General features: G+C 42.1%; 1 protein-coding gene across 5 annotated transcripts in view, besides 1 other annotated feature; it reads right to left on the reverse strand.

The window, feature by feature from the left end:
- OSBPL1A (oxysterol binding protein like 1A) overlaps window positions 1-13,245 on the reverse strand; it is a 235,780-nt gene that overhangs the window by 17,689 nt on the left and 204,846 nt on the right. For all 5 annotated transcript variants that reach the window (XM_017025530.2, NM_001242508.1, NM_018030.4 and 2 more), the window contains 2 exons: window positions 1,412-1,546; window positions 5-102 (listed from right to left, as the gene is read on the reverse strand). In XM_017025530.2, coding sequence (XP_016881019.1) covers window positions 5-102; window positions 1,412-1,546 — 233 coding nt within the window. The remainder of the gene's footprint in view (window positions 1-4; window positions 103-1,411; window positions 1,547-13,245) is intronic.
- Window positions 10,272-10,566: an enhancer, noted in NCBI's record as "tiled region #1293; K562 Activating non-DNase unmatched - State 22:ReprW". NCBI's record gives its function as "activates a minimal TATA promoter and a strong SV40 promoter by Sharpr-MPRA in K562 cells {active_cell/tissue: K562}" and the evidence as "EXISTENCE:reporter gene assay evidence [ECO:0000049][PMID:27701403]".

The following is a 13,245-nucleotide window of genomic DNA, read 5'->3' on the forward strand; positions in this document are numbered from 1 at the left end:
TCACCGCACTAATTCATAAGTCTCTCCCAGCAGTGGGTTGAAAGGTTTTCCAGTCCGTTCCCACTGAGAAGCAACAGCAGATACAGCAAACGCAGCTACACACTGTGGGACAGAGCATGAGAACAAGTCAAAAATAGCCGAGCTCGCTCCGCATTCTTTTAGGAACTGAAATTTTGCTGAAGACAGTAATTTACAGAATTATTTTGAGGAGTTTCATTACTTTGGAGTTTTAATATGGCTCTAGCAGTGGGACATGGAAACTTGGATATTCAGAATGAAAATTACTTTCAGTTGCTTCCTACAGTGTTATTCCCAACCATGGTTTTCATCACACTCTAACAGTGCTACAAATTCTCTCAAGGACTTTTAAAAAACCCTCAAGTCCAAAGTTACTTTTAATTCATTTAAAAATTTTTAAAAGTATGACACTCCAGGATTGGGGAAAGAGATATAAAACTCCACAACTTAATTGGTGTTAAGTCCACTGAGGTTGGAAAATGCTGACTTATATAGATGAAAGGACAGAAAGACTCAGTTTAGAATGCTATTGCTTTGTTGAAGGAGAACAATGTGTCCACTATACTCTACCTCTAACTAGTCCATCCATGTACAACATATACAATCTTCCATCTAAAACATTAAAAAGTGCAATTCCTTGCCGTCTTTTAACATATAGCAATGTATATATATTTATATACACAAGTAAGCACAAACATATTTTTCTATTTTGTGTGTGTGTGTGTGTGTGTGTATGTGTTAACTTCTTCTTGGAAACACCCCGAGAAAGTCTGAAAGAAGAAAGGTTGAATTCTTCCCCTAACACAACGCTACTTTCTCAACTAAAGATTTAGCAAAAGCCAGCCGGGCACGGTGGCTCATGCCTGTAATCCCAGCACTTTGGGAGGCCCAGGCGGGTGGATCACGAGGTCAGGAGATCGAGACCATCCTGGCTAACACAGGTGAAAACCCGTCTCTACTAAAAAAATACAAAAAATTAGCCAGGCATAGTGGCGGGTGCCTGTAGTCCCAGCTACTTGGGAGGCTGAGGCAGGAGAATGGCGGGAACCTGGGAGGCGGAGCTTGCCGTGAGCCGAGATTGCACCACTGCACTCCAGCCTGGGCGACAGAGCGAGACTCTGTCTCACACACACACAAAAAAGGATTTAGCAAAACCCACTAATATCTAGGTTTGCTTAATGGGCCACCTCCTGCTTCTCCTGCAATACTCATCGGTCTCTGCACAATGGTGTCACCCTAACCAGAGGACAGTCCAGACATGCGGACTGAGCTTTGATAAAATTGCCCAACCTCACATTGAATTTAACACTAATTGTGTGAACGTGTGTGTGTTCGGGGCTGGGTTGGTAGCAAGGTCTCTAAGAGTTAGACCTTTTCCTCCCTTGGCTCATACCTGCATCCTTTCCACAGGATCAGAGAGTGAACTGGCCTTGTGGATGAGGTAAGTATGCTCCATGTATTCAGTTAGGCGCTGTAGGAAGCTCAGAGGCTCATTAAATATAACTGGCATCGTGATCTTGGATAGTTCCTATTTAACCAGAAAATTGAAAGTGTTATGTCCCATATACATAACAAACAAACCTATTGTTATCTTTACATAACATCCTCCTGGAAAGGACAGAACAGAAACTAGCAACCCATGAAATTTCATCAATATTGGTTCAATTTCACAAATTCTTTCCAGAGCACCTAATACCATGGAGTATATCCTTCTAGGCCTTGAAGGAGGAAATACAAAGACTGCCCAAACATTCTCCTTGGCTCCAGGGAGCTCACTACCTGCTGGTGAGCATGAGCAGATGACTCTTCATCAGTCTGCCTTACATCAGAATTAGGAAATGGGAGACAAAGGCAATGGAGACAGAACAAAATTCTTCATAGTGGTGTTAAAATAATTAACTGCAGGGCCATTAATTACTGGAGATGGCTCCAGTGCCTTGAGTTCCTTCATAAGCAAACCGCTGAAACCCTCTCCCCTGTTAACTTAAGCCTCACCAATCAGAAACTGCCAAACTAACCTCTATCTAGGAATGTTACACTTTCCCCAAATGAATGCACTTTCTTTGTCTGGCTCCCTCAAAGAACACCTTATAAAAGTAAAAGCTCCCCTTCCTGCCTTCTCAGTGGAGTGTGCTGCCTTCTCAGTGGAGTGTGGAACAGCTTCAGGTCTGGGGCTGTTCAAGTCATGAATTGCTGTCTGTTCAAATATATGTGTTAAAACTTCAATATGTCTACATTTGTCTTGTAACAACGGGCTAAGGATTAACCACACATACCATTTTTGTGAGTAATTTTCCAAAAGAAATTTCACAGCTTTTGAAATGACAATGAAATGAAATGAAATGATATGACAACACCGAGCTTATCTGAGCACACCAATCTAGTATAAATTATGGTCTAGGGTACTAGCAGGCTACTGCATATTTTACAGAATAGATTTTAAATTCTGTCTGCCAGAATGCCTCCATCACAAGCGACTCTCAAAAATAATTTAACAATTAGGAAGTTTCTGACCTCAACTGCAACTGTTCAATTCTGTTTACCATGTGCCACCAGCAAGCAATATTCTGGTGAGACCTTTACAAAATTCATTAAGTAACACACTTATCTTGGTATTTACCGGAATATTCTGACAATCTTCCCAAACTTCTATCGACCATTCCCTTGGGAATCAGGTCTTTCATGAGGCCTGCTGGCTGGTTGCGTGGGCGGGTGAACAGTCCTGAGGTGCGTAGTCAGGCTGAATGCCACCTGACTTACCTCTGACTTTTCCCCCTAAATATCCATATTCCCACTGAGATTTTCAATTAAAAATAATGCAACCTGCAAAGAACTGAAACTGGAGCGCAATCAAAGAAAATAAGCTCATTCATTACCATAAAATACTGCAGAAAACAGACATGTAACAGCTCAGCCTGATGAAAAGAAATGGTAAATTTACTGCTGCATCACTGGGGAGATGAGGGAAAACAGGAATGTATATAGAGAAATAAAAGGCTCAACTACATACACTCTAAGAGCTCATTAAACCCAGAGATTCACTACTGGGGACAAGTCAGAAAAACTGTGACTGCTAAGGCTTGTCTTAATTGAAGTGTCCCAGGCTCTCTTTCTTCTATTTTTCTTTTTTTTTTTGAGATGGAGTCTCACTCTGTCACCCAGGCTGGAGTACAGTGGCACAATCTTGGCTCACTGTAACCTCTGGCTCCCAGGTTCACGCAATTCTCCTGCCTCAGCCTCCGGAGTAGCTGGGATTACAGATGTGCACCACCAGACCTGGATAATTTTTGTATTTTTTTAGTAGAGACAGGGTTTCACCATGTTGGTCAGGCTGGTCTCGAACTCCTGACCTCAAGGGATCCGATCCTCCCACCTCAGCCTCCCAAAAGGCTGCGATTACAGGTGTGAGCCATGGCACCTGGCCTTCTATTTTTCAATAAAACTATCGTTATTGTTTTTTTCTATTAAAAAAACTAACTGGGAAATACATAACTGTCTTAGTATAAAATATAATAATATTGAAATAAAAACATGAAAATGTCTCTTTACTTCCCTTTCCCACTCCTCTTCCCAGAGACAAAACAACAGCAACACTTTGGGATACATACCTATGTATTTACACACATATGCATACATACTCCTGATTTATATTCACACACAGAGAGATTTTTCTTTTTCTTTTTCTTTTTTTTTTTTTTGAGGCGGAGTTTTGCTCTTGTCGCCCAGGCTGGAGTGCAAAGGCGCGATCTCGGCTCACTGAAACCTCCACTTCCCAGGTTCAAGCGATTCTCATGCCTCAGCCTCCTGAGTAGCTGGAACTACAGGCGTGCAGCACCATGCCTGGCTAATTTTTTTTTTATTTTTAGTAGAGACGGGGTTTCACCATGTTGGCCAGGCTGGTCTTGAACTCCTGACCTCAGGTGATCCACCCGCCTCAGCCTCCCAAAGTGCTGGGATTACAGGCGTGAGCCACCGTGCCCAGCCCAGATTTGTTTGTTTTAATGCATGATGTCAGCTCTGTGTATTGACTCATTACACCTTCACTGTGTTTTGGGGATCTTTTAGCGGGGTGTTATACACATGTAAAGTACATACATCGAGTCTTTCCAGTTCTTTCTAATCACAGGATAGTAGAATGCTAAAGACCACTGAACCAGATTGAGTTCCACTGCTGGGTTCACCTTTACTAGCCGTGTAGCTTTGACCAAGTTAAACCCTGTGCCAGTTCCCTCATCAATAAGTACTAAGTACTAATATAATAGTATCTATCATAAAGCATAATTCTGGGCACATTGGTAATGCTATATGTGTGCTTGTTAAATTTAAAACAAAGTCCATATATGGACATACCATGAACTATTTAATCATATATCTTTAAGAATATAGGCAAATAGGGATTTCAAGTAGATTTCTCTAAAGTGGAGTTTCTGGGTCAAGAGCATGCTCATTTAATTAATTAATTTATTTTTTTAGATACTACCAAGCTGAATGCTTTCCAAAACACCTTAACCAATTTATACTGCCACCAATGCTGCATGACAGTCAACATCTCTGATGCTAAAAGAGGTGTATTATTCCCAATTTGTTCCTTCTGTCATGTTTATGCTTTCATTAAACACGTATTTAACTGAACACCTACTATGTGCCAGGTACTGCAGTAAAAGCCCCATTACAACCACTTAACCTGGAATGCCCTGCTCTCTCTTCCCTTTATTCCTCTATGTCCTACCCAGATTTTAAGGCCCAGTTCAAGTCTTTCCTCCTCAAGTTTTGTAGCACTCACTGATTTCCTACTCTTTCCAACTGCTAGAGTACCAAAATGTACTGCTCACAACCGAGAATTTGATCAGAGATTAGATTCTATTACCTACTGTTATAGTATGGGTGGTAACCAGCTTATCTTGCTACATGTATAGTAATACAATTCCTTGGGAAACGGACACTATCTTATACCCCATCTACATGCCCCCATCACCTCACAGAGAGAGGGGAACACTGCAGGTGTGCCCTGCCCCAGATGCACCCTGCATTCTCACTGCCCCCACCCTGCATTCTCATTGCCCCCACCCTGCATTCTCACTGCCCTGTGAGCTTTCCCTTTTCAGGCATTTGTCACACACTGCACTTCCCGCCTCCTTCAATGGAGAGCTCTTTGAAGACAAAGGTCTTGCTTAATAATGCATGCGGTTAACACAGCTAAATGCTGAGTAAAAAAAATTGGTTACTTTTGGAATATTATTCAGTGCTAAAAAGAAATGAGCTATCAAGTCATGGAAAGACATGGAGGAAACTTAGATGCCTATTACTAAGGGAAAAAAAGTCGATATGATTCCAACTGTATGACATTCTGGATAAGACGAAACTATGGAGACAGTAAAAAGGTCAGTGGTTGCCCAGGGTAAGGGGGAGGAATGAAAAGACAGAGCAAAGGGGATTTTTAAGGCGTGAAAACACTCGGTGTGGTACTACAATGTTGGATACATGTCATTACATGAACACGGAACACCAAGAGTGAGCCCTAGTATAAACTATGAACTTGGGGTGATGATGTATCGCAGGTTCACCAATTCTTTTTTCTTTTTTTTTTTTTTTTTGAGACTGAGTCTCGCCCTGTGGCCCAGGCTGGAGTGCAATGGCGGCTCACTGCAACCTCCGCCTCCTGGGTTCGAGCAATTCTCCTGCCTCAGCCTCCCAAGGAGCTGGGACTACAGGCACGTGCTACCACGCCCAGCTAATTTTTTGTATCTTTAGTAGAGACGAGGTTTCACCACGTTGGCAAGGCTGGTCTTGAACTCCTGACCTCGTGATCCGCCCACCTCGGCCTCCCAAAGTGCTGAGATTACAGGCATGAGCCACTGCACCCATCCAGGTTCACCGATTGTAACAAATGGGCCGCCCTGGTGAGGGATGCTGACAATAGGGAGGCTATGCACGTGTGGGGCCAGGGAGTGTGTGGGAACTCTCTGCACCTTCCTCTCAATTTTGCTGTAAACTGAAAATTACTTTATAAAATAAAAGTCTTTTGAAAAATAAAATTAGGCCAAGCATGGTGGCTCACATGTGTAATCTCACCACTTTGGGGACCAAGGCACGAGGATCACTTGAGCCCAGGAATTCGAGACCCGCCTGGGCAGCAAAGTGAGTATCTCTACAAAAAATTTAGAAAACTAGCTAAGTGTGGGGGCGTGCATCTGTAGTCCCAGCTTCTTGGGAGGCCGAGGCAGAAGGCTTGCTTGAGCTCAGGAGATCAAGGCTATAGTGAATCATGTTCGTGCCACTGCATTCCAGCCTGGGTGACACAGCAAGACCCTGTCTTAAAAAATAAAATAAAATTTTAAGAAAATGAATTTTGATGAATCATACTTTAGGAAAGATCAAATTATCTTTCTAGTCCTGCTACAGAAAATATCATAGTCGCAGTCACATGTGATAAAAGAGAATGTAAAGCCAAAAAAGAGTAGCAAAAAAAGTACAGAAGAATGTTAAGGCAATTAAAGAGTTTGTAATGATTTTGGATGTATATTGTTTGTGGTACTAGACACAAACAATGTTACTGTGGTAATAGTGATATTTACACTTCAAAACTTGTGATGATTTTTCCTCATTCTAAATAAATATTCACCTTAAAATCTGAAAAAAACAGGTTATAAAGCAACATGTTCAAAAATATTCTAATCTTGTTAAATATGTTTTTATAAACATAGAAACAAATGCTAGAAGATAGTAACATCAAAAAGTTAATAGTGGGTATCTCTAGGAGTTGGGGGCATATGGAATCCTAATAACCTTCCATCTGCTTTTCTGTATTTTCCAGATTTCCTAAAATGAACATGTACTGCTCTTCTAATCAAGGGTAAAATGAGATGTTACTTTAAAACCTAAGGTGGCTCAGGCCTGTAATCCCAGCACTTTGGGAAGACAAGGTGGGTGGATCACGAGGTCAGGAGTTCGAGACCAGCCTGGCCAACATGGTGAAACCCTGTCTCTACTAAAAATACAAAAATTAGCTGGGCATGGTGGTGTGTGCTTGTAATCCTAGCTACTCGGGAGGCTGAGGCAGGAGGATTGCTTGAACCTGGGAGGCAGAGGTTGCAGTGAGCCAAGATCACGCCACTGCATTCCAGCCTGGGCGACAGAACAAGACTCTGTCTCAAAAAAAAAAAAAAAAAAAAAAAAAAAAAATTCAGACAGGCAAAAGGAAAGGCCAGGGAAACTAACAGCCTCATACCGCAGCAGCTGGTCCACCTTACAATACACACATTTGCACTGATGCTAGTCATAAAATGGATAAGGAAAAATTGGCGTAGAAGTAATACAATGGAAAAAGAAGAGCAACAAAATACATTCAGATTAGTCCACTCCTAAGTTCCAGAGACAGGAAATTAAAAGAAGAGGTTCCTACTTCTTGGGTAAGGTTGCTACAGATAAATAAATAAGAAAGGGCTCTGAACAGAGAGTAGAATGGTGGTTGCCGGGCTGATGAAGGGGAAGTAGGGAAGTTGGTGTTTCGAGGGGACGGTTTCAGTTTTGCAAGCTGAAGAGAGTTCTGTGGATGGACAGTGGTGATGGTAGCACAGCAGTGCGAGTGTACTGATGCCACTGAACTTTATACTTAAAAATGGTGAAGGTGGTGCCTTTTTTGTTATATATATTTTGCCATAATTGTAAAACCAAGGGGAAAAAAATGAGCTCTGAGATCAAACTTCCTGCATTCAAATCCTAGCTGTACTACCTACTGCTTGCGTGGCAGCCAGCAAGTCCCTAACCTCTCCCCATAGTGGGGACAATTTCATTACATACCTCACCAGGCTTGTAAAGATGAGATGAATTCATTCATATAAAGCACTCAGAATAGTGCCAGGCATCTGTTAAGTGAGCAATAGATGCTAGCTATTATCACTGTTATTAATAATGCAGACAAGATCTCCAAGTCCTCCAAGGTTGCAGGAAAGCAAGTACGACTCAATGGCTGGGATACTTTGCCCTGACCCAGGGGCAGCTGAGCTGCAGAGAAGCTACAGAAGCAGCATGGCATAGGGACCTGGGCTTAAAAGGTGAGGCAGTGAGGGACAGGGTGCTGCCCTTCCTGAAGCCTGGGCCAGGAGGGATCCAAACACCAGGATGGCAGGGGTTCACTGCAGTGGCAACCAGTGACAGCCAGTAGGTGACACAGGCTATGCCATTTCTGGCTCAGCTCCCTTCCTGTTTTCTCCATTTCCCTTTATTGTACACAACAGCAGGGTGGGATTGATCATAAAGAAACTTTAAAAGTTTATTCATTAAAGAAAGGAAGAGCTTTACCTGTAAGTCTGATTTTGAATTTGTTTTTCCTGAAAAACACTCTTAAGGACTATCACATACTCATTGAGGAAGGAATAGATGGACCAGGGATGACATTTTAGTATTTATAAGACAGGAGTTCTTCCCTCAAAGAGATTCTGCTTTGTTTTCTCAGGAATACTGGCCTAGGGATGCAATCTTGCAACTCTAAAGCAATGCTGCGTGCACTGCCATTTCTCCACATCCAGCTCCGTGGGAAAACACAGCACGGCAGGATGGGGCAGGCAGCTGTCCACAGCCACGGGCTCCTCAACACCAGCCACCGGGCTTTCCAGGGGCTTGAAGCCAATGACAAAGAGGGTGGTGTGAACTCTGGAGACCAAGGCACAAAGGATGTGGGTTTATCATCAATTCAATAAGTAGATTTATTTTTTAATCATTTGAAAAGCTGCTAAAATTCTACAAGCCTCTTTTAATAAAATGTTGTAATCTATAATAATTTAAACAGCTTTCCATTTCTTTTAGTAACTCAGAATGAACGCATTCAAGAAAATGGAAAGGCACACGGCTGGGTCAAATAACAGAGAGGGAAGGAGAGGCAGAACCCAGACTGCCATAAAAACAACCTGGACCTTGGAAGAGTGTAACATGCTATTTTAAAATATAGCAACTTACTTGCAATTGTATTGCCTCCATCATCTGTAATTATTTTTAAATAATCTTACAATTATTTCAATTGCTAAAACCTACAGTTCCCTAGAGAGGTAGTGAAAAACTCGCTGACACAAGGTGTATTTTATTTCCTTCCCTCTTAGACCTCTTGAAAATTCACTGATACATCATTTTCACTTCCAATCCAATGAAGTCTGGTGCTGCATTCTCTAGATAATGTATACAACCAATATGTGTGTATATTCCAATAACAAGAAAAACAACAATTCACATTATGAAGACCAAGCTTCAGGAAGAAACACTGCCTAGAAACTTCTATCATTGAGAGCTTCAGGCAGCTGGAAAAGTTAAACATTTATGCCAAGCAATTCCAGCTAATAGCAAAGTTTAAATTTATCCATGCAAATTAATAGCAACCTATGATGAAACTGCAGAAACTCCTAACTGCAACTGCTCATTGGCTGACAAACTGAGAAGAAGGAGAGAAGGCTGTGTTTTCACTTGAGCACTAGAGAAACCTGAGAGCAAGGCCAAGTTTGAGCTCATCTGAAATTGAAAATATTGTATAAATGTAAAGTCAACCACTGTAACAGGGTAGAAGTGCAACTACTTTAGACCTGGGTTATAGAGAGAAAAATTCCCTCAAGTGCTAGGCTAGGTGTGTCTGCTCTGTTGCCCAGACAGCAGCTTGTGGGCAGGGTGCTCCCCCGCGTGTGTGACCTAAGCCCTGGTGGGTCCCCAGGGCTCGCTCCACTGACAGCCGGGGGCTGGCGGCAGTCAGCTGTCCCCTGGACAGAGCCGTGCCTCCTGCAAGATGAAGATGGCACTGGATGTTTCCTCTATGACACCTCTACCTCCCACAGCTACCGATAATGAAAAAATTCATTGTGCTTACATTTGAGGGCATCGCAGGGCCAAATGTCTTTCTTTCCCCATCTCATGCTGCTCAGTTCCCCCCGCTCCACACGATGCCTAGCATCTCATCTATTAGTTTATCACTGCATGAGGTTCTTGCCATCTGAATACCACCGATTACACGCAGATGAGTTACTCTAAGGTGTCCCGGGATAGCTGCCTGCGGCCGCTCTGGATGGGCAGTTTGAAAAAGAGCCTGCTGCCCTCGTGCCTTCTGTCCTCAGTCCTCACAGGCCAGCCATGGGGGACAACAGGGGCCAGAGTGAAAGACACGCAGGCAGAAAGGAAGGCGCCACGGAGTGGGAAAAGGCGGTGTGTTCATCATGTGTTTACTGAACCACAGTGTGGGCACCTCAGTGCAACCAATGAGAAAACGTGGAGAAGAAGGTAAGAAAAGCTCTAAGGAAAATGCTAATGAACATAATGATATTCCTTTCCTATTCTTCCTGCTTAGGAGCTGAAGAGCTTCAGAGCTGAGAGGTGGCGTGAACCCTCCTGCTAGGGGACTTCATAAAGGCTGGACAACACCTACACAGGAATGTGGAGAAACAATGGAAGCATGGGCTGCAAGCTTGCCCTGGATCACTCGGCATTTGTGGCTTTAAGGGAATCTACTTCCACATGCATTTTTTCCTAGAAACTGGCAAGTCTCAGATGGCACCTGCACTGGAGGGACCGTGCTGCTCCTCTTTGCTCATTTCCCCATTCACAGTTGCCCTCTGCTACTGAAAAAAAAAAAAAAAAAAAAAAAAAAAAGTACTTAATCTCCTACCATGCTGAATCTTGGCATAGTATTTATACCTGGAAATGTGAAAACCTCCAGGGCACCAGAGAGGGAAGTTTAGATACAGTACTGTTACCAGCAAAGCCTCTTTTACTCAAGAACCATTAACTTACATTAGGGCTCCTTGACGTCCTGTTTCAGTTAAGAGAAAGACACGACATGAGAAATAGGGTCTTCAAGCCATTTCTCCCCAGGTTGAAACATTCTGATCTTAGACCACTGTAGAGTGTGGGGGTAGAGATACCAAATTTTGTTTAACTATCTTGCTCCTTCTATCCTCTGTCGCTCTAGTTGGTATTTATAACATGCCAGATTTGGCAAAGCTCCAAACCTTATCTAGCTCCGCATCTATCTTAGAGTTGGAATGCAAGAATAGCACTGTTGTCATGGTGGCATATAGGGTATCACATGTTTATCTGATTCCAGAAATAATATCTCATCCCTTCTGACAGTTACTCTGACCCAGTGATATGTCTGGGCATGAGGTCTGGCCCTATGGCTATGTAGCAGACATTCTGTACTGGAATGAATGAGCTAAACCTTCAGTTTGTGGGAAACATCTTAAGATTCATGGTGAGATAAAAGCATTTTATCAAAAACATACTGGCAAAGGTTTACTTCAGTGAAAATTATTCCAATTTTCTCAACCCTTTCTCAGTATTGCAAGGTACAACTGAGTGATAAAAACAGTTCAATGAATTGAGATCGGAGAGCTTGGGAAAAGCTTCTCTGGTGTATTTCCCAGAGGCCAAGAAGCCAATGACTAATGAAAGGTAACAAAACCTTGTGCAAGTTAGAGTTTTTCAAAGTTGTGTTTTTAGTAACACTGAAGGGAGTCCTAATTGAGTTGTTAGCTTATAAATCACACACACAAAAATTCTGTAATATAATCTGACTTTTGGCATCTAGTGGAGAAGGGGGTCAAAGAACTGAATGACATTACTGGACATTTTTTTAAAAACCCAAAAAACTCCTACTCCCATCTGTCTATTAATATGAGCAAAGCTCTCAATCCTGGCATCTATTCAAAAACAAGAACATAACTGTTACTGAAGATCCTGTCTCATTCTAGCAGCAAGTGATATTCATCTCAGATATCTAAAACCAATTGAAAAAAATTTTCACTCATAACATTTTACCTTTGTTAATATTTTCATAAATTTTATAATGTTTACAATTGTAATCAAATACTAACATTTATAACAATGCAAAGAAACCTTTAGTACTAAAGTCTTATAGAATATAGCTTTTTAAATTTTAATTTTTATACATATTTCTGCAGTAATGAAGTATGATGAAGTAATCGATAAAAGACCCTCAGAGATTAAAACAATTGAGTTAACTCGGTAAATGGAGCTAATGGAAGAGAGATGATAGCTGAAGGTATGCACATGGCTTCTGGAACTCAGTTTCACCCCTACAAAAAGGACACGAAGTTAACTGAGTTATCCTATAGGAAGGATAAAATGGAAATACAAATTAAAGGAGACATAGAAGTATAAGCTTTTCAATGACTGAAGAATAGCTTGCTCATGTATTTATTTAACAGAATGACAGTGGCAATCAAAACTCGATGGTATGTGGATTCCACTAGCTACCTTTAAAAGAATGATACAACACTTTTCTTTCACTTTAAGTAGTCGGTATTCCTGATGTACCAGACCTTTGTCACCTCTTGCAATAATCCAGGACTATTCTATTACTCCAAGACATTTGAACACACACAAGGGCAGCACGCACATGGCCTTGAGCTCAAGTACCTCCTCAAATTTTGTGCTGAGGTCCTGGGGCTGGTTGCCTAAGTCACTGAGCATGAACACCAACGACCTAACCTCTGGCTGAGCCCTGCTGAGAAAGCCACTGGAGCAAAGGGATGGAGGAGAAGAGGAGGACGGAAACAGGGTACACACAGGACATGAGGCTTTCGGATTAAAGAGTCCTGTGACAAAGGGGAAACAAGCAGAAAGAAATAAGCAAAGGCTTCAAATGACTAAGCAGTGTCAGGATTAGTTCTCAGGAGCCGGAGATTTGTTTGTTTGGTAAAAGCTTCAACCACAAACAGATTTAGGGTTGAATTCCAGTTAGGTAAAGTATTCATTTCACATTGTATAATCTGACATTTTGATAACATAATCCTGCTCAAAACAGACTGGGAGAAGAAAAGAAGGATGTCATCAGTATTGGAAATCAAAGTGGCTAAATGCTATTTGGAAAAAGGTAAAGTACAACGTGCAGGTGCATGGGAGTGGAGGAGATGGGGCAGAGTGAGCCCGGCTGGGGATGGGGCTGCAGACACGGGGGGCCAAGATGACAAATGCATGGAGAAGAACCTCTTCCTTTCCTTCCTAAGACAGAGTGAGACCTAGACCATATCTGGCAGATAAGAATATGTACTGTGAATTTAGAAAAGCCACATATTTTGAATAATAATAGCATTACACCATAAAATGATATCATCATAGCATACAAATCTGGGGCATTAATTGTTACGGAAAAAATGGGATGAGGACTCTGGTTGAGTGTGGAATTGTGGGGCTGTCACCCGCAGGATGCTTACACCCCGCACTCTGTCCTGG

The sequence above is a fragment of the Homo sapiens genome, chromosome 18 (genome assembly GCF_000001405.40).
Source record: "Homo sapiens chromosome 18, GRCh38.p14 Primary Assembly".
NCBI lineage: Eukaryota > Metazoa > Chordata > Mammalia > Primates > Hominidae > Homo > Homo sapiens.